The 23,223-nt window shown below is 34.8% G+C and overlaps 2 annotated features.

Moving 5' to 3' along the window:
• Window positions 12,178-12,347: an enhancer, noted in NCBI's record as "experimental_52999 CRE fragment used in MPRA reporter constructs". NCBI's record gives its function as "activates a minimal promoter by MPRAs in K562 erythroleukemia cells, with activity observed for the introgressed 2:14163050 variant allele {active_cell/tissue: K562}" and the evidence as "EXISTENCE:reporter gene assay evidence [ECO:0000049][PMID:34662402]".
• Window positions 17,096-17,265: an enhancer, noted in NCBI's record as "experimental_52989 CRE fragment used in MPRA reporter constructs". NCBI's record gives its function as "activates a minimal promoter by MPRAs in K562 erythroleukemia cells, with activity observed for both the introgressed and non-introgressed 2:14158132 variant alleles {active_cell/tissue: K562}" and the evidence as "EXISTENCE:reporter gene assay evidence [ECO:0000049][PMID:34662402]".

Genomic DNA, 23,223 nt, shown 5'->3' with positions numbered 1-23,223 from the left:
TTTTCTGTAATTTAGGTTCAAATGTCTATTTTTCTATGCGATTTCACTTGACTATTGATGTATGCTATTCCTGCATTCTGTAGCATTTCGCTTTTTCCTTTATGTATCTCTTATTCCATTCGGTTTTATCCTTAATTATTTTCATGCCTACCTCTAACTGGATTACAGGTGCCTTGGGGACAGCAGATAATCAAATTCATATCTATATCTCTGTTTCCTCATATTGTATATAAAGGATATTTTCAAGAGGCATCTGTGAAATACATGTTAACTTCCTGTTGAGCATCCTAAAAAAAGATCACATCTTCAAAACTTTGAAATATTTTCTTGTGAACAAAAATTGTTTAAATATGTATTTTGTTCCTGTGACAATCACAGAATTTTGCCTGTCTTTTTGGTTTTAAACTTTGTTTGGTAGACACACTTTTCAAAATTCCATTGTTAAATTCACATGTTTAATGCTTGCTTATCCTCATAAATATTTATCTGACATAATAATGAAATAACAATATTCTATCAATTCTAGCAAGGTCTCCTTCATAAATGCCCAAGAGATTTCCTATTTCTCATATCCATATGGTTAAGGTTTTCAAGATTAATTCATTATTCCCATATTGACAACAAATATAACCGTATCATAAATATTAATTACAAGGATCAGTGTCATTCCTTTCACCTCATCCCTTATAATGTCATTACATTGTTTATGAAACTAATTTCTCACCTTCTTTTTCTCAGTGCTACAATTTTAGAACATATAAACACTTTGAGTTTCAACTTTTCAATAGGTGTTCATTTTTGGAAGGCAACGACTATCAGAATTTATTTTAGAATTTACAAAAACAAGTATGCATAAAAACTCTTGTTTGCCCTTCACCTCCATTTTTAATTTACATAGTGGTTATTTTAATTAAGGTTTAGAATTTTGGGAGTATTAATTTACCAAGCTTTCCATCATATTGATTTTGATGTTCAGAGTTATCTTCAGAAGTCTGTGAAGAATGCTTACTGTGCAAGAATAAAGGGGCGTTTTATTAAACCCAACTGGCTAAAAAAGATAAAGGGGCTTAAACATGAAGTCAAATCACGATATATCTTACATTGTTAAAAATTAAAGGAACACTTAAAAAATTAAATAAAGCACAGGAGGTAAAGTAAGTGTTCACTGTTAGGTACATCCCAGTGAAGAGGCATGGCACGGTCAGTGGCTTCCATTCCACCATCTCCACTCTACCTCTTTCCCTCTCCAGGATGTTACACTCTAATTCCCAAATACTTTTGCAGGAAGCTGGTCTTAGAGGCAAAAGTGCAGATTAGAAAAAAATGCTGCTGCGTTTTCTCTAATATTCTCTTTTACTCCAGCCTGAAAAATATATCCTTTTCATAGCACAGATTAAACTACCCTGATCTGGAAGAGCTTACTATAAGTACTTAATACATTGCAATATTTGGTATCATCTTGCCTTTGCTTATGAGAGGAAATGAAGGGAACAACAAATTTGTTTATTGTCAGTAACTATTCTTTAAAAAAAAAAAGTAAATATAATTGTCTTGATCTGCTCAGCCAAAACTGACTATAAGATTGCTTTAGTTTGTAGATTTTGTCAACTGCATTTAACCAAGGGTAAGAAAACAGAAATCTAAAGAATTCTCATCACCCACTTTATAAAATTAACTTGAATACCCTTCCCTCCCCCTTCCCTTTCCTGGTTTTCCATAATAATCTATGCAAGATGTAATATTTTTCAAAGATTTTAGAAACTGGTTAATTCTTTTTATTCCATTTTTTCCTTGTAATCATAATATACAACCACAATATTTACATGAATGCTGCATTCATTTTCTATTCTTGTATAACAACAATAGAAATTGTTTCTATTGTTGTTCCAAAATTTTGTGGCATAATATGACAATAAACATACATTATCTCTTACATTCCCTGTGGGTCAGAAATTAGGGAGGAACTTGGTTGTGTGGTTCTGGCTTGAGGGCTCTCATCAATTTCAGTCAGATGTCAATTGGGTCTGCAGTCATTTGAAGGCTTGACAGGGGCTGGAGGAATCTACTTCCAAAGGGGCTCTCTCATATGACTGGCAAGTTCCTTCCTGCGTTTGTCAGGAGATGTCAGTTTCTCACCACAGACCTCTCCAGGGAGCTGCTGGATTGTTTACATGGCAAGTGGCTAACTTAAGTTAGTCAAAATAAATTATAAAAAATAGGCAAAACCTGAAAAATCACACACTATCACTTCCTCAATATTCACTTGGTCATGCAGATAGGCCATGATTCAATATGGGAGGTGTATTAATCTTTTTGCATGCCTGTCTTCTTCTGAGCCCTCCAAACTGTTCCAAAGTCACTGCCACATTTTCAGGCATCTTTTCAGCAGCACCTAACTCTACTGATGCCAATTTACTGTATTACTGTATTGTTGTTAGTTTTCATGCTGCTGATAAAGACATACCTGAGACTGGGCAATTTACAAAAGAAAGAGGTTTAATTGGACTTACAGTTCCATGCAGCTGGGGAGGCCTCACAGTCACCGCAGAAGGCAAGGAGAGCAAGTCACATCTTACGTGTATGGCGGCAGGCCAAAAAAGGAGCACTTGTTCAGGGAAACTCCCCTTTCTATAACCATCAGATATTGTGAGACTTGCTCACTATTATGAGAACAGCACGGGAAAGACCTGCCCCCATGATGCAATTACCTCCTACCAGGTCCCTCCCACAATATGTGGGAATTCAAGATGAGATTTGAGCGGGGACACAGCCAAACCATATGAGGAGGAAAGTACACAAGGTTGTAAAAACCAGAAATCAAGAATCATCAGGATCCATCGTCATGGCTGTTTATCTACTACAAATAATTCTTCCAATTTCCTGGCCATCTTCAGTGGATTTCTTTACTTCAAGTTAGCACCCACTCGCAGGTTACATTCTAAAAATCTGAAAAAACTCCAACTATAAGATCACCAATTCACTTAATCAGCTGTCTAATTCAACCAGTTCTCCTTAAATTTTACTTAATCAACTCCTCATATTAAGAAGTGTACATTTGCTCAATCAAAATCACAATGAGATACCATCTCACACCAGTTAGAATGGCGATCATTAAAAAGTCAGGAAACAGCAGATGCTGGAGAGGATGTGGAGAAATAGGAACACTTTTACACTATTGGGAGTGTAAATTAGTTCAACCATTGTGGAAGACAGTGTGGCAATTCCTCAAGGATCTAGAACTAGAAATACCATTTGGCCCAGCAATCCCATTACTGGGTATATAACCAAAGGATTATAAATCATTCTACTATAAAGGCACGTGCACACATATGTTTATTGCAGCACTGTTCACAATAGCAAAGTCTTGGAACCAAACCCAGATGCCCATCAATGATAGACTGGATAAAGAAAATGTGCCACATATACACCATGGAATACTATGCAGCCATAAAAAAGGATGAGTTCATGTCCCTTGCAGGGACATGGATAAAACTGGAAACCATCGTTCTTAGCAAAGTAACACAAGAAGGGAAAACCAAACACTGCATGTTCTCACTCATAAGTGGGAGTTGAACAATGAGAACACATGGAAACAGGGAGTTGAGCATCACACACAGGGGCCTGTCAGAGGGTGGGCGCTGGGGGAGGGATAGCATTAGGAGAAATACCTGATGTAAATGATGAGTTGATGGGTGCAGCAAACCAACACGGCACATGTATACCTATGTAACGAAGCTGCACCTTGTGCACGTGTACCCCAGAAATTATAATAAAAAAAGAAATGTACATTTGCTCAATTTCCAGCACTATTTACTTTTAATTATTTTCTTATTCAACTTAAATTTTAGAGTCTATCATTCCACTATTGCTCTTGGACATACCTTCTTATCATTGACATTTGAATTTTACAGTAACAGATAATAGTGTCTATTTTCCCATTTTCAAATTAACTTCTTAACAGTACTGGAAAAGTTCACACACACAACAGTGTATCACTATTATTTAATGATTGCAAACCTCAAACAGGACCTCAGTTTCCCAGGAAACTATAATAGTTGAGTCAACTCATTCTCTGAATGAAACATTTTTTTTCCTCCTTGAAATGTGACCAACTCATTTCCTCTTTCAATATTACTGATATTTCCTTCTTAACTAAGAACATGTAAGCTGTCAGATGGGAAATCTCTTTACTTCCATTCAGCAAACACATAAACCTTGGTTACGTCACACTCATCCTTTCATTTTTCTGTTTTGTTGCAATAGATCAGTAAGTCTCAAACTTTAGCATGTATCAGAATTACCTGGAGAGTTTGTTAAATTATTGATTTTTGGTCCCTACTTTGACTTTTAAGGCATTCCAAAGTGATGCTGTTGTTGCTGGTCTGAAAACTATTTTGAGGATTACTGTGATACAGAACATATTACTGATTGGTGTAGTAAAAATCCCTCCCCTTGTGCCCTGGACTCCAACCCTTTCCCATTATTAGGATTATCAGGATATTTATTACTCTTCTTTTTTCCAACCCCATAAACATACATATATATGGACATTTGAAACAAACTTTTCTGTGAACCAATACCCTTCATAAATCTCCCTTTGACAAGTAATTTTTTTGAAATAATTTTCCAATTTATTGTCCACATTCATTCATTTCCCTCTAACCCCTCATCTCTTTCCAGTGTGGCTATTTCCCTGATCCACCCAACTGAAACACATTTTGATAAATTCTTGAAATACCTCCAGCTTGCTAAATCCAAAGGACATCTTTTTTATTCCACATATTGATTTTTCTATTTCGTCTTTCTCTAAACACACCTGGTTTCAATTACACCATGCACTCCAGGCTTAACCAGAATGAAAATGTCACTGTTTTATCCATCTCTGTTGGTTCCCATTTTATGATTATCTTTATAGGCTTCTCCAACATTTAGCCATTAGATTTTAGAGTCCCTTAACATTTTTCCCCAGACCTTCAACTTTCCTTCTCTATAATCTGTTTCCAGACAATTTTATGCTTTCCCAACATTTTAATCACCACCTTGATGCTGATTACTCTCAAATATAAATCCACACTTAAGAGCTTCCTTTGATTATCCCTTACCTGTCTAGCTACCTGACTGCTTGATTTCTCAATTTGAATAAACATAAGTACCTCAAAGACAACATTTCTCGACCCCTATTTATTTGCTTTCTTCTCCTGCTTTGCATGCCAGATTGGATTCCTTCCCATTGTTTCTCATGTCATAGCGTAGCTTCCACATCCAGTAGGTGAAGCAAGTTACAAACCTAACTGCCACCATTGGTACCTCAGTCTTTCTAACACTCCATGTTCAAATCATCATATAGTCAGGTGCACTTCACATTTTAAAATAGCTCTAAAATTCATGCATTTTCAATGTCTATACTGATAGAATTTTAGTTGCTATTCCTCCAAGGTTTATTTTCTTATGTTCTATAGCCTGAGAGTAAACTTCTTATTTATGAATTTCTTTCTATTTATCTTGTTAAAGTTGACTAAACTGTGAATTTCAGGGTTGCTTATTATTATCAATTCTGGAATATAGTCAATTTCTATTTATTGCCTCTGTATTTGCTTTCTCTCTGGATTCTACTTAATTATATCCTGAAGACTCTTACTTAATTGTCCATTTGTTTGATGTTTTTCATAATTTCTGTTTATTGCTTCTTTCTGCTACATTCTAAAATACTTTTTCTGCTCTAATCTATTTTTCATATATGTTTAATTTGCTCATTTAATGAATCCAATGACTGTATTATGTCAAATATTAAATTTTTAATTTCTAGAAATTCTTTTTAACTTTTAAAATATACCTGAACTCTTCTGATAATTCTCTGCTCTATCATCATCCTTTTATTGCTTATGTAATTTTAAACATATTTTGAAATATTAATATTTTATGTCTGAGAACTCTGATAAGTACAGGCTTTTGAGATTTATCTTGCAGTTTGTTTGTTTACTATCATTCATGGGATTGAGGAAATTCTACCTTGAGAGCCTACCTAGCATTTTTTAAAATTATGAAATTATGAGCTTATATTTAATAGAACTTTATTTTTAGACCCAGTATTCAATGTTTGCCTTTAGATAAAAAATGCACTTGATTACTTTGATACAACTAGTTTGAGACTTTTTCTAAACTTAATTTTCCATTTTTATGCATGAGAGTAAGAGCATATGGGTAATGTGAATTCAATCATAAAACTCAACTTGAGGCCGGGTGCGGTGGCTTGCACCTGTAACCCCAGCACTTTCGGAGGCCAAGGCGGGTGAATCACGAGGTCAGGAGTTCGAGACCAGACTGGCCAACATGGTGAAACCCCGTCTCTACTAAAAATACAAAAAATCAGCTGGGCGTAGTGGCAGGTGCCTGTAATCCCAGCTACTCGGGAGGCTGAGGCAGGAGAATCACCTGAACCCGGGAGGCAGAGGTTGCAGTGAGCTGGGATTGCACCACTGCATTCCAGCCCTGGCGACAGAGTAAGACTGTGTCTCAGAAAAAAAAAAAAAAAAGAAAACTCAACTTGAGTACGTGTTTAAGAATTCTCAGGGTGGACATTTTTTTCTTCCTCTTTATAGATATTGAGACCTGTGCATATCTCCTCTGTCTGTGCCTGAGGTATAGAAATTTTTAAGGTATTTTTCTTATTGATGTATTCCCAATGTGTAAGACAATCTTTGACACTGATTAAGTATTTATTAAATACTTGAGGAATGAATGTTTAATATTGAGTAGTTACAATTGATACAAAGAAATCATGTCCTGATGTCCATGCAGAAAAATGTACTGATGCAAGGGACACAGAGACCTCATGAAACATCTATGAGAGCAGTTTTGCAGGCATCAAATAACTTACAGGCTTTTTACCATCTTAAACATGTGTGAATGAATTTTACAGAATATAAGCTTACAGAGAAAAGCTATTATAAATAAAAAAGAACAAATATGCATTTTAACTAGAAGAAATTAATACATCTATTTCAATCTTTCTGAGGTTAAAAATGATCAATATTAGGATATCTACTAATAGAAATTATCAAGTTATATAGGTAGAAGTCAAACATGAAGAGGGTAACTTTTTGTCTACCAAGTGCTTCATAAATAAGGTGCCCAAACTGACACTCATATTTATGCATCTTTGACTCCAAACCTATATTCTTAAACTATAATTTATGTTGAAAATTGGCAGGTGGGTGGCAGGACAGAAATTTTTCAGAATCCTAGAGTATAAAATAAAACTTTATTGCAAAAGAGTAAGTTGTTTGACATACATAATCAAAAGAAATCGGTTTCTATTATATATATAAATATATATATAATACACATATTTCTCATATATATATATATATATATATATATATATATATATATAAGGATATACAACAATAAGGAAAATGCTTTAAAAAAATTTCTGTATCTCAGACATAGACAGATGAGATGTGGACCTGTCTCAATAGTCTATCCAGAGGAAGAAAAATAAGTCTACTCTGAGAATTCTGAACACACACACACATATGTATATATAATAGCTAGTTATAACAGCTAATGAGAAGACAACCATCTACAATAACCATATATACACAGAGATGAGAACAACATGCAGTTCTGATGGAAGAAATACTCCAAAATCTTATTGAGAAACAATGGATTGTTAAATATAATAGTGTCTTTAATGACGCCATTTTTGAACTTATATCAGTAAACAGATCACCCCAAATTAACAAGTGTAATTTTGTTTCTATATAAGCAGGGGCACAATCAAACAGAATTAACTCTGAGTATTTAAAAAGGAGGAATTCAATGCACTGGATGAATTACACAGAAGTTGAAAGAGTTTGAAACAGCAGATCTTAAGCTAACAAGAGATTAACAATAGCAGAAGACAGTATTACCCTTAGATTGGAGGGATATAGGGAAGGGGGAGATTTTATTGGAGCCCAGAACCCTGGCATAACCAGAATTTGAAGAGGAGATTTACTGGCAACTTGAGATGCTGTGCAAGACAGAAAAGGAAGGGAAGAAATAACTTTGGCCTTACCTCCCTTCCCACCTTCCAATTTCCCACCAGTACATCCCATTGGCCAAACCCATTTGGAAGCCTTTAAAATTAATCTGTAATGACAGACTCCCTCCCCCAGTACACTGAGGTATAAGCAAACCAGGAAGGGTTGACAAGCTGATAGGTGGGCAAAACCTTACTTTTCTTCTATGTGCTTAATATGAATATGCGAACATTTTTCATTGTAAGCATTTAGTGTATATACTTGAAGGCTCTTTGTATCTTAAAATTGTTGAAAGCATTCTTCTCTACCATAATTTCTGGGTTTTTTTGAAAAAAATATTTTAATGACTGTCTTTTCTCAATGTATTACCTTAAAAATCAAATTTTTTTGAGATTATATTATTTCTAATTGTTAAGGTGGTAGAAATCGTATATGAGCATGTACTTTATACTTATATTTTATTTTTCCTTAGAATAAATTCCTGTAAACTGACTTGATGGGTCAAAATTAGTAAAGTTATTAAGTTTCTTGACTAACAAAATCCTATTTGTATGTTTATATATATGAAAAATTTACAACTATTCATAATCCTATAGTATAGATTTTAACTAAAATTATATTCCTGCATTTGTGTATATATATATATGAGAGAGAGAGTATGTATATATATATATTGAGAGAGAGAGTGTATATATATATAGAGAGTGTATATATATATATATATATAGTGTATCTATATATATGTGAAAATTTAAAATTATTCATAATCCTATAGTACAGATTTATCACTCTTAAACATTTGGAAGACAAATATTTTTTCTACTAGCGAACAGACTATATTATTTATAATTCAATTTTTCTAGCTTTTATTTTTTAATAACCTTTATTATTATAGGACAGTTTTAGATTCACAGAATTCTTGTGAAGATAGTACAGAATTTCCATATATGCAGTTTCTCCTATTAGTAACTTCTGATACTATTAAGGTACATATGTCACATTTAGTTAACCAATATTGAATTATTATTACTATTAACCAACATCCATTTTTTATTTTAACTTCCTTAAACCTTACTTCATGTCTTTTTATTGTTCTATGACCTCATCTAGAATGCTACATTACATTTAGTATGTAATGTTTTATATAGTATTTAGTATTTAGGCTCTTATTCGGAGCCTAAACAGACTCTAATTAATTAGAGCCTAACAGTCCTCTGATTAAAAGGACTAATAATTGTGACCGTTTCTCAGACTTTCCATGTTTTTGATGAACTTGACAATGTTGAGCAGCACTAGTCAGATATTTTGTAAAATGTCCCTGAATTGAAATGAGTCTGATAATTTTCTTATTATTAGACTTGAGTAATGGGCTTTTGGGAGGAAGACCACAGAGGTAAAGTGTCATTCCATCACATCATATCAAGGGTCTATACTATTACCATGACTTGTCACTGACGATGCTAACTTTGATCATTGCTCCCAAGATAGTTTCTGAGGTAAAAAATTATTTGGAATGATTCTACATGGGAAATTTGTTTATCCTCCCCTATGTATATGTTTATTCAAGTATTTATTTATCTCAGTTTAAATGTACGGATATTTATGTTACACTCTAAGTTATAACATTTATATTTTAAATTTTATAATAATTTTATTTAGTTACATTGAAGTGAATCTGTGCATAAAACCTTGATTATTTTCTTAGTGATTGACAAAATTTTCTTGGGTTAAAGGTAATACATTCTTGAAGGCTTCTGATATAATTTGCCATAATGCCTGTCCTAAATGTTATAAAAATGTCCACTTTACTTTGCCTCCTAACTACTTTATAAAGGGCAAAGAAAGTACCTACTCTTTCTATATCCCCCAACAGACATATTGTAGAGCTTTTTACATCAAGGAGGCATGGCTTGTGAATTACTCTCTCATCCACTGCATCTACTGTATGTTTTGTTTTTGTCTTCAGCAAGACCTCTAACTACACCTGTTTCAGGAATGACATGTAAACCTCATCATTTGGAGACAACACTTAATGAAAATAATCCCCTCTGGGTTAAATTAATATTTTGCTCTCCTTTTTCACTTCCTTATAAAAGATATGTGGGTTGGATAGAGACAGTCATGGGCGTTTGTGTCAATTTTACACTTAGTTCATGAGAGTGCTGGTTATGTTGCATTTGTCACGACAACACTCTACGCGTAAATGGGACTGTTTATGTTTAGAAGGTGAGGAAACAGATTCCAAAAGGTCAAGGTGCCCAAGATTGTATACGCAGTACAGTGTTAATATTAATGTTGTGTGAATACTTTATACCAAGCATGTTTAATCTTCCACAACACTGCAGAATGTTATTCTCATTTTACAGACATTAAAACAGGAGTTTAAAGATGTTGAGCCTGAGGTAAGCAAAGCAAAAAAGCAGTAAGGTGTTTTCCCCATTTGCATCATTTTTCTTCAAATCCATGCTGCTTCATGTAGTGTGGATAATAGTCACAGATAAAGGTGGATTTGCATATAAAATTTATGATATTTATATTTGGTTGCTACACTGTGCAATCCTGTTTGGAGGAAAAGATATAGTAGGAAGCAGAGAAGAGTACTATAAAATAAATAAGTAGATAAGCTAGAGTTCAAAGTAAGAAATTTTAAATTTGATGTCACTGTGTTACCAGCATTACTTTAATTCTAAATATTTTCTTCTTAATCTTATTAAGCTTGAAATTTAAGTCCCACCATGAATGCAAGTTTAGAGATGCTGAGCTAGACGGCATTATCTGTGAGGTTAGGACATTTCCCATTGCCAATGTTCATGCCAAAAAGTTTAGTAAGAACCCTAGTCTTGTCACATGCTGGTATATAAGATTTTTTCCCTTGGCGAAAGACTGGGTTATTTTCTTTCTAATAAAAAATATTATGGATCCAGACAGACAAGTTTTTAATTCTCAGCTGCTGTGTGCATTTAGTCAAACTATTTAATCTCACTAAGCCTCTGTTCTTATTTAAAATATCATGTAGTTAAAGCCAGCAGAATAAATCCACTATTACCCTATATAGTTAAAACACACAGAAAACAGAACTAGAGAAAAAATAGAATAATTTAAAAGAAAATTTCTTAAACGCATTCCACAAATCATGAGTAACACCTGCATATTCTTATAATGATTTCAACATGAGAAGCCTGCTGAGAAACAACGAACAATTCTCAGACCTCCAATAGAATACGGATGTTGTCAAAGTATCTCCAACAGGAAATTTGCTTCAGTAATACTGAGACTAGAACAAGAATTTCCGAGACTCAACAAAACACGCAAAAACAGCAGAATACGGCTAAAGCAATCCAGTGGCAGAAGTGGGATAGTGTGATTGAAACAATGGAAGCAATGTTGCCATTCAATCTGGGTTTCATTCAAGCTGCTTCCATAAACTTTGAATCCCAACACTCTGGTTACTGTGATGCTAATCCAACCTTACATTCTTCTCGCCTTCATCAAATGCCTTTGGAGTCCATTCTAATACATATTTCCCAGTTTTCTACATATGTGAGTTGGTAAATTTTGCAATATTTTTGTATGTATGGCAACGCTTCTCAGACTTTGTGTTTATACTCTTCGGTATCTACTCAGATTTGGATCTCAACATAGGTTTTGAAAAGTGAGAGGGATACAGTGAGTGTTAAGGAGATTCAACTTGCCTGTGCAAGGCAGCTGCCTCTGGGAGATTTATTATTAAGCTTTTTGGTCTTGGGGAAGCAAATCTCCTCCTATGGGGAGAAAAGATTTCTTCCTTCACCACTGGGATTTTGGGATTTAAGATCTCAATACCAATTATTAGAGTCACATTTATTTCTGATCTGAACATAAGAGACCTAAAGAGGCTATAAATTCAATTAACATTGTAATTCAGACACTTGATGAGTACAACTTAGAATTTGGTTTCATGAAATCCTATGTCGATATAACAGAGCTGTCATAGAAAATGTCTATTTTCTATATATGTCTTGGACTGAAACTATAAACACCCAAGTTTGCCATTTTTGTTCTCCAAGATCTTCAGCATATTCACAAGCAGCTACCTATCTCAGAAAACCAGTACAATGTATTTCTGCCATAACTCTCTACTGCCAAAGCTACGTGGTATCCCCAAACATCATATTTTGTAGACATTCAACTCTAGGCAGCTTGAAATAACATGTTAAGAATTTTTAACTGATGATTCTCTCTGAATGGAAGGCCCTTAAATGGTTCTTAAGCTTTTCCCTAGTCCTATAATAGAAAAAACAAATATTCCTTTTATACAACAGAATTTTAAAAAACTTAGCAAAGTATGCATTTAAATTCATGCTTAACGAACAGGAATGATCACAGAACTATCTCCTGTCCCAACCTCACTCTGCCCAATAAATGTCATCTAGCAAATAAGTGGCACTACTTTTTCAAATGACTGTGTGTTTATATTCTGTGCCATCACAGCAGAGAAATATTATCTATAAGGGAAGGGAGTTAATTTGCCTTGTTTACTAAGATGCTTTTCTTATTCTTTGTGGAATGAATGAATATTATTTCTGTATTATTTCTCTACCACAACAGAGCTAATTTTTTATGTTTCTTAAATAATTTTCTTAATATTGGGCAAGTTATTCTATTTTCTCTTGCTTAGACTCCTTGTCCATGAAATGGAAATTTTAATATATGACACTTAACAGATATAACTGATAAAGAATTACTGTGTGAACATGAAGAAATATACATGTTGTTCATTTCATCTTCACTCATAGTTGGTTGTTCCCTCTAAGCCTTGAGGCCTGAAGCTGGCTTCTTGGGTCATATTATAATCATTCCAATCTGGTCCAATTATGTACTGGCCCAGTTCTATACCTTCATTTGTTTGTGGCCTGTTATTTTCAGTTATTTCCAGGCTGCCATCTGTTCTACTTTGACCTCTTTAAAAGTTTTGAGCATGTATAACTCAGCAGCTGAGAGAACCATGGACACATCTCTTTCTGCATTTTGCATTTATTAAGTATTTACTATGAGTCAGAACTATTTAAAAATGGGGAAATATATATATAATATATATTATTATAGATATACGTATATATCTATAATAACAGAGTTCCATGGGTAAGTGTTCAGTATGCAGAAAAGTTGAAGAGCTGGATTTTGAACTCACAAAAGTTGAAGGGCTGGATTTTGAACTCACAGTTATTTTTCTGCCTATTTTCTTAACCACTGTGTATACTTTTCTTTTTCATATATTAAACTAGAAATTTTCTCTGCACAATTTGATTTAAACAACTTTTATCTTTATACAAAGGCTACTCCTCTTCACTTGGTCTTATTTTTAGAGGTAATTTTTTTACTCATTTCCCTGATTCTGACCTTGAATTTGCCCAGAATGTTGTTTTCCTAAATCCCCATCTGCTCCACAAGTTTAAATCATAGACAAGAGGCACATTTTTCAGTGACCCAGTCCACCTCTTGTCCTTGCTGGTCAGAGGAGGAATCTCAGACTTCATTCTCAGGCCCTCCTAGGCTGTCTTAGAATCCTCACAGTAGGGTCTTGGTGTTCTCTGGCCTGGTCTAATGCCCTTGTTCTCTGACACACTCAGCTATTCCAACATATCTAGTCACCTACTTCTCTCAGTAAATAAATTTAAGGAGATCGATTCCTAGTAAAACAGGTTAATAATTTATTTATCCAGGTGATCATTATTACTTCTCATCGAGAAAACAATTGCCATTTGAAACAGGCCTCACAATGTAGAAAAGCTGTACAGGATGCCTAACGATGATCAAATGGTTATTGGATGATCCCTGAAATGAATCAAGAAGTGTCAAATGGAAGAGATGAATAGCTAGTGACATACCAGTAAAATAACCTGATGCATCTATGCCTAGAATCAAAATCAACAACCATATAAAACAAATAACAAAAGTAAGAGCTGTTCCATTAACAGTCCAGCATGCCTAACACTACTGCTTTTTATGTTATGTGCTGAAAGATCTCTCTTTTTTAGATATATTATCTGTATAGTTGTCTCAAAACTGATTTACGATATACATAAGGTTTTGTGTTCCTACCTTTGCTTTGGGATTGCGATAATGTGTATCTCTAAGAGAGCTTTTGTAGCTCTAGGGTCTCATTCACCATGTCGTGGATGAATCCATTGGCACATTAACTCTCAGAGTTCTGGTAGTGCTTCATTGTCACTTACAAAATGCCACTTACATATCTACTTGTACATTTGGTCATTCTTTTCATATCACACAATCTGAAAAGAAAAGATACATTGAAACACAACAAAATCCGTGCAACGTTGCTTTGGCTTGGGTAAGCATATTGATTTTCGAGCCTTCGCTTTGGCCCCAGTTTGATGAGAGCCTTCTGACTAACTACAGCTATTTCTGGGGTTTAGTTTTCTCCATGGGGGAAAGGAAAGCTCAACGAAATAACTACTAATTTTATTTTCATATTGACTTGTATAACTCAGCTTGATATCTTTGACCCTTTAAGGCACCAGATTCAACATGACAATTTAATAATAATTTTAAAAAGAATTGCTAATAATGTGCCTGTTAGCCAGGCAGCCTACATGTAGAATCTTTATTAAATAAATAAGGAAACCAATGCTAATGTAGAGCAAGTGATTTTCCGAACGTGACGTTGTTTTCTTTTTCCTTTTTCTTTTCCTTTTTTTTTTTTGAGACAAGAGTCTCCCTCTGTTGCCCATCCTGGAGTGCAGTGGTGTGATCTCAGCTCACTGCAAACTCTGCCTCCCAGGTTCAAGAGATTCCCTCTGCCTCAGCCTCCTGTTACAAGCATGTGCCATCATGTCTGGCTAATTTTTTTTGTATTTTTAGTACAGAAAGGGTTTCACCATGTTGACTAGGCTGGTCTCAAACTGACCTCAGGTGATTCACCCACCTCAGCCTCCCAAAGTGCTGGGATTACAGGTGTGAGCCACTGCACCTGGGGCTATTTTCAAGAGGGGCAGCCAGAATACAAATTGTCTGAACATAAGGCCCTTGTTCTCACCATCACATGCTAAACAGTTTCTCCTTCTATCAAATGGACTACTTTAGATACACAGATGACTGCAGCACTGGCCTTATCTACCTGCTTACATCAATAATTGATATTTAAGTAGGGCAATTTCTTTCAAAGGAGAATACAATTTGAATGCTCCAAAACAAAAACAAAGGAAGAAAAAAAAACTTACAAAGAAACAAAACAAAAAATATTTAACTCCCCCATAAAGGTTTGAAAGAATATGTGTTTTTGCTGGAAAGAAATTCAGTGAATTCAAAGAAGTTCCTATTAAGTCTGTTCTTAGAGAAAGGCGCTGTCCATTGACAAGGTGAGACCAATCAGACAGTATCCGTCAGAACAGTGTCAGAGGACAAATTGATTTTGCTGTCTTAAGGGCGTGTAATCAAATAATTTGTAGAAATAGAGAAGTCACCATTCAACTGTTGATGTCAATAATTCAGTTACTTTGAATGTTAACAATTTGAAGAGAGTCAAATTACATGTATTCCAGGTTTTAGAGACTGGCAAATCTTTTTTTTATTTAAATATTAATATTTTTCAAAATTAGATTCAAAGTAAATCAGATACTGACTGTTGTCACTTACTTTTTTTTTTAATAAAAATGCATCCCTAAAAGTTTGTAGTTGTATTTTACAGAAATAAAAGGTCAGATTTTGTGTTTCCAACTACAAATTGTTTGCCTGCAAACGAGCACATTTTTGGGAAAAAAAAAAAAAAGATGTGCTAATAATGCTACATAAAGTTTATAAAAGTGCTCAACATGCTTTGTTTACATTCTAATAATTGGTCTTGGAGTAAATATATTAGGTAGGTAAGAAAAAGAAAAATATTTTCATTACAGATTAAAGGAAGTTTTCTGTGTTGTTCTGCACTGTGACTTTGCCCTTAAATCAGAGACATCCTCAGCCCCCAGTCAGCCCACTAAATTCTTAGTTACAATTCCAGGTCCAAATTGTAGTTAAACCTTTGTCAAGTCGTCTTTAGAGTCACCAGAAAATTCATTACATCCATCTTCTTCATCTATTTGTCATCCATTATCATTTATGAACATTTAGTTTACTGTTAATATATTACACTGTAATCATTATAGTCATACTAGTATCTATTCATTGATCACACCTCTTCTCCACAAAATAATTGTCAGCTTATGAAAATACATTAAATATAAAAAAAATCTCAAATCCGTAAAAAATTGAAGCGGCAAAAAGAAAGGGGGAGTGATGGAAAATAAGTCACAAAAATAAAAATAGAAACCTTGGTGTAATGATCTAATATATTTGCTGACATGGCATCACGAACCATGCTCAAGCAATCACTGAGAGGAATTTTTAAAGTCAATTTAATAATTCACGATGTTCAAAATTACAGGAAAAAAAATGCTCAGAAAAAAATCAAAATAGTTTTTGTAGGAGTTTGACACCAAAATTTCTCCCAAATCTCTGGTAACTTGTTTTGGTTTTATGTCTCACTCACACCAGACTAGACCATGAGTTCCTTGAGGGCTGGGGTGACTCCCATTCACCTGTCAGAGGGAGATTTGTGTCATAGTGTCCTCCTTCATGCAGTCAAGGCAATAGGTACCCTATGAGAAGCCCACAGCTAAATGTTAGCTAAGCTGGAAGTCTCCTCAGGCTCTCTGGAGTCATGCCTGGCTCATAACATGAGTTAAATAAATTACTCTCAATTTTTATTGTCCATAACACATTGCATAAAACAAAGGAAATCTGCTTTTTAAATAATTATTTAAACTCACCTTCAAAAAAAGAGCATTTAAAATAGGTTAAAATCAAGGTACATGAATTTGCATTGATCTAAATAAATAAATAATTGGGTAAATAAATAAATGAGTCGGAAAAATCAGTTCATCCTTAAAAAATGAAAGAGGAGGATTAAAAATCAACACTAGAACATTACAGTAGCAATTGTTTCAAGACGGATCCACCGATGAAACCTATAATTAGTGGGTATAATTTTGAGGTGTAACTCCTGTTGTAGTCTGCAATTACCCATGATATTTATTAATTACAAAGGAAAAATAATAACTCTACATCAGAGAAAACCAACATTCCCAGCCTTAGATAAGTGATCAAGCTTAATATCACCAGCATTAAGCTGGGTTGCCACCACATACCTCCTTACATGAGCCACTGAGAAAAGTACATCACTCTTTGGGTATTCCTTGCCACAACTGCATGAGTCCAGCCTAATTGTGAGAAACAGCAAATAAATCGAAGCTGAGGGATATTTTTTTTAAAGACCCGACCAGTATTCTTCAAAAGTGTCGAGGTCAGGAAAAACACAGAATAACTGAGGAATGTTTATAGATTAGAGGACAGTAAGAAGGCATAATAAATGTGGGATACAAAAGTAGTTTGGTGAGGACCAGGCGCAGTGGCTCACTCCTGTAATCCCAGCATTTTGGGAGGCTGAGGCAGGCGGATCACCTGAGGTCAGGAGTTCAAGACCAGCCTGGCTAACATGGTGAAACCCCATCTGTACTACAAATACAAAAAAAAAAAAAGAAATTAGCTGAGTGTGGCAGCAGGCACCTGTAATCCCAGCTTCTTGGGAGGCTGAGGTGGGAGAATTGCTTGAACCCGGGAGGCGGAGATTGCAGTGAGCCGAGATCACGCCACTCACTGCACTTCAGCCTGGGGGACAGAGTGGGACTCTGTCTCCAAAAAAAAGGAGAAAAAAAAAAAAGTAGATTGGTGGAAAACCCAGCAAAATTGATCTGAATAAAATCTGCTGGTGTGTTAGTAGTGTTGTCCTAGTATTAACACCTTGTGACAAGTACATATGATTATGCAAGATGTGAGTAGTAGAGCAAGCAGAGAAAATATACACATAAACTCTGTATTATTTTTGCAACTTTCCTGTAAATTTGAATTATTTTAAATGGAAACTTTTTTTTTTCCTAGCGTCTTTGGGAAGGAAGAATTTTAGTTACCAGTACAACTTCTTTTGTTTTTGTTTTTTTTTAAACTTCTTTTGTTAACATGATTTTATTTAGAGGTAATTTCAATCTTACAGAAGATTGCAAGAATAGTACAAAGAACCTCCGCATATCCTTTGTCCAGATTCACCACCTGTAATTTGTTGCATTTATATTTCCTTGTTATCTGTCTGTCTCTCTCTCTCTCTCCCTCTCTCTCATTAATATTAATGACTAGTTTCCTTCTTTAATGTATCACTTCCTTTATAGAGGGCTCTTAAAAATCTCCCATTATCTTTATATAATTGCTTAAATAAATGTATTAAGTATGCTTAAATCTTTGCCAGAACTCAGTCTCATGGCCACACTTCTCTGGAAGAGAGCCTGGAAAATGTGGTTTACTTTATGGGTGGCAAAGTGCCCAGCTAAACTTGTGATTGTGGAAGGAGAAAGGAGGTGTAGAGTGGGTGGGTAGCCTGCTCTGGAATACAGGTCTGCTGTAAGAAGCTTCTCCTACTTTGATTCATCTTCATTTTCCCTATTCCCACCTCCCTCTAAGTTAACTTCCCTTCCCATGTTTGCAGTTGCCACTACCTGATCCCTTATGATCTCAAAGCAGAAGAAAGTCACACAAAATGTTCTTCCAGTGCTCCTGGGTTCAGCAAATTTGAAACTTGCCCAGATCTAATCAGCAAACAACAGGGATGTTTGATTCAATTTCTGGTCACTGTGTGACTTTTAACATGGCTATTATACTATCAGAAAAGCTAAATACATTGTGAGGACTGCTAAGTTTAATTTTGTTTTGTGCTGGAACCAGCTGCCTAAAATAAGCCCAAATTTAACATAACCATGTCTTTAACATAACCATTTTTTAGTACTTATGACTAAGAAATATAATCTTTTGTGTTTATCTAATGTCATCAGCTAAACATAGCAATAAATAAATATTAATTTATAATTATTAAATATGATGTATGCATTAAAATATTTATTTTAATACAAGTAGAATTCAGAATCCTGATCATGTTAACAAGTTACAAACATAATTTTGGCATTTTTAAAATATTTTAACCAGTTATCTTTAATATATTTAGTATATATCTGTAAATATTCTCCTTTAATAAATTAGTTCCTTCTATTTATTCAAGATTGCATGATATTTAACAAGAGTACAAAGCCAGTTCCCTAAGGAAAAAATAATCTTTTCAACAAACAGTCCTGAGACAACTAGATATTCACATGTGAAAGAATAAAGTCAAAATACCTTTCCCATACTATACACAAAAAGTAATTCAAAATACATAATAGACTTAAATGTAAGAGCTAAAACAACTAAAAATTCACAATAACAAGCCGTAATAGTAAATACTTGTGACTTCAGGTTAGCCAAAGCTTTCTTAGATATGCTACCAAAAGTGAAATTGAGAAAATAAAAAAAGAATAAAGTGTGCTTTATCTAAATTAAAAACCATCATGCTATAAATAGTACCATTGAGAAAGTAGAAACAGTGCAGCGAAAGAATGAGACAAAATATTTGCAAATCATATATCTGTTAAGGTACTTAGATTCAGGATATATAAAGAACTCTACTCTTAGAACTCAACTCAAGAAAAGACGAATAACCCAATTTAAAAATGGGCAAAGGAGCAGAATAAACATTTTTCCATAAAAGGTATACAAATGGCCATTAGGCAAATTAACATATGCTCAGCATCATCAGCCAAGAAAGAAATGCAAAGCAAAATCACATGAAATACTACTGCACTCACACTAGAACTGTTGTAACAAACGGAACAGAGTATCAATTACTGGGAAGGATGTGGAGAAACTGAAACCCTCATAAATTTTTGATTGGAATGTAAAGTGCTGCTTTGCAAAACAGTCTGTCGTTCCTCAAATGTTTAAACATAGAGTTACCATATGACAGCAATTCAACTCCTAGGTATATATCCAAGAAAAACAAAAAACTATCCACCGCAAACTTGTGCATAAATGTCTATAACATTATTCATAATAGTCAAAAAGTGAAAAACTACCCAAATGTCTATAAACAGAAAAATAAAATTGGGTACATCCATATAATAGAATATTATTCTGCAATAATAAAGTACTGATTCATGGTACAATATGAATGAAACTTGAAAACATTATGCTAACTGAAAGAAATAACTCACAAAAGAAAACATATTATATGATTTATTTTGCATGAAATATCCCGAATAGGCAGATTTGTAGAAAAGTAAGTAGATTAGTGCTTACTTAGGGCCAGGTAGGTAGGAGGAGTAATAGGAGTGACTGCTAATGTATAAAGAGTTTTTTGGGGGGTGATAAAAATGTTCCAAAATTGATTGTGGTTATGACTGCATAACTCAATGTATATACTAAAAACCATTGAATTGTACACTTTAAATAGACGTATTTTATGGGATGTATATAATATTTCAATAAATCTGTTGTGCATAGATTTAGATACATATCTATTTCTTTCTCTCTCATCTCTTCAGAGTGTACGTTAGAGGAAATGAACGATTTTTGGTCAGAAAAAAAAAACATGTTTCACAAGAAACAGTATTAATCACATTATTGACATTCTCTTAGCATCATCTTGTTACCTGCTTTAAGTCTTTCTTGAACTCTTAACTGTTGTTGATTCTTATTATTTTTCAGCAAACATTGCAAAATCATATAATTGTCATTTATGGGAGGAAAAAGTTGAGATAAACAGCTTGCCCTGTAAGGACATGTATCTTCAGTTGTCTAAGTATTGACTTAAGAATCATAATCTTAACATAAAAACTTCAAAAAAGGAAAAGAAAACCCACAAAATCATGAAATAATTTGATGAGTCAAGGTCAAAGCTGAGGAAAAAATACATTAGAGAAACTTATCTAAATTATATTTGGACAATGGGTCAAGAAAGTTCAATATCTATGTATTGCATATTACACACTACTTATTACATAACAGTAGATAGCAGCTGATTGGAGCTAGGTATGAGACATATGATGTCTAAAATTCAGTACTGAATTGCACAAAAAAGGCTAGTCAAAACAAGTGAACCATTTGAGATGAAACTTACAGTTTGGGGGAAACAAAAGATTACAACCTAAAGTGTTTTTTAGAGACAGGTAGAATTGGTTTCAACTACTTGATCTTCTCCTACTTAGCTCTGTAAAAATTGTCAATATATTAACCTGAGTCAGTCTCTGTTCTATAAAATTAGTCAGTAAAAATAAATTATCTCTAACATTCTACTATTTTGTGCTAGAGGTAGAGCCTCAAGATAAATATATCTGGGGAAAACCCCCAACTTGTCAGTATGAATTTAACTCGGTAAATATCTACCACCCCATCACTGAAGATACATTATTGGTGTCCTGCATACATATAATGCTCCCTAGGTATAGACAAAACACAAAACCCCTATGTGGTATGATTTCTTCTCACTTAAACACCATTTGATGTATTGCAATGCAATTTAACAAATGTTGGTTGAGTATATCCATTCCCACTGTTCTAGATAATTAGGATAAAACAACCCAGTCCCAAGGGATCTCACATTCTGTTATTTACAAACTGGATCACCTACAAATAACTCACAATACAAATTAATAAATTAAAGTTAGTGGTATGCCCCTGGTGCAGGGCACACGATGGAGGGAATGATATACTACATCTAAGGAGATCGGAGGTGATTTCCAAGAATAGTTTACTCGTGAACTGGAGCTTGAGGGGTAAATGGGTTTGTCAGATAAAAGCCAAAGAAGGTGAGGAATACAGGCTGTTCTGATTAGAGAGGAGGCAAGTAACAATGTCCAAAGACATGGTATCATCATGGGCTATCAAGGGAAATTCTTATGAAGAGTTTCATATGAAATGGTTTTATATAAAGTTGGTTTGGGTTTGTTTTGTTCTATTTCTCTCCCTTCACCACCCCCCACTCCCCAACTATCCATGTATCATAGGTAGGAGCTTAATAGGGATGAAGAGTGAGGCCAGCATTTTGTGCTGCTGTCTTCTTTTTCATTATGTCCTTCAAATAGATCTATTATCTTTCCAAAAGCTTGGTAATTAAATGAATATTCTGGTATTGAACACTCAATTCAATTGAATCATATGGCTAAATTTCAGAAAGTATTTAACAATATCTTACCTCCAATTTTAAATGATCAAACCAAATAAGAAAAGGCTATTCACAATGATGATAATAAAACTAAAAACAAAATAATGACTTACATTTACATAACTTAGTATGTGCTAAGGTTTGTTTCAAGTCCATTTGCCTAGGTTGATTAATCTTCACAAAACTTATAAGCATATTTAAACCACAACAGATATAGTGCTTCCAGCCCAAGCACTCTATCTGGCTCTAGAGCCTGAGCTCTGAACCATTAAGCAACACAGCCACAGAAAGTCAGTGTGGAAGGGTTGGCCAGGATATCAGATTGAGGGTAGACAGGGGCCAGATTATAATGAGTCTTTATATTCCACTGAGCTTCTTTTTTATTTTCTTGAGATTGAGAGTCAATAAAGGGTTTATTTTCAAGACATTTTGTGATACATTCTGCGTTAGTGAAGAATCACAGTACTGGGGATAACTGAGATGGGAGAGTCTCCTTGACCCTTTTGTAGGCAAGAACTGAAGTGCACCAGCTCTGGGTCCAGCCAGCCATTTCAACACTGGCGGGGACAAACTTCACTCACTCAAACCCACTGTGCTCAACCCCTCACGGGAGGCAGCACACAGTTGAGTGGGTGCCGGGGCGGGGTGAGCTTTTTTGGCCTCCAGTCCCATGGCAGTGTGTAGGGATGTGTTACAATTAATGCTCTTTTAGCTTTGCTCTCAGCTGATGGCTTCAGTGTTAAACAGCTCAGTGAAGAATCAGTGTGACAGCCTTCTGCACCTGCCCTTTTGACACCTGAGTTCTTGCTCGGCATTCAGGAAGAATCAGGTCTCATGAACGATTCGAAAGGTGATGAATGCAGAGGATTTTATTAAACAGTGGAAATGGCTCTCAGCCGAAGGGGAGCTGGAAAGGAGATGGTGCAGGAAGAAGGGGATCTTCCTCTAAAGCCCGGCCAGCTCCAGCTGGGCTCCACTCTGAAGTCATGTCCTCTGAAGTTGAGCCGCATCTCTCTGTAGTCTCTGACACTCAGTTGCTCCTTCCCCTCTCGACATTCAGCCACTTATCTCTCTGCCAGCTGAGGT

The sequence above is a fragment of the Homo sapiens genome, chromosome 2 (assembly GCF_000001405.40).
Source record: "Homo sapiens chromosome 2, GRCh38.p14 Primary Assembly".
NCBI classification, from domain to species: Eukaryota; Metazoa; Chordata; class Mammalia; order Primates; family Hominidae; genus Homo; species Homo sapiens.
Note: the sequence above shows the minus strand (reverse complement) of the source record. Positions and strands in the feature narration are given on the sequence as shown.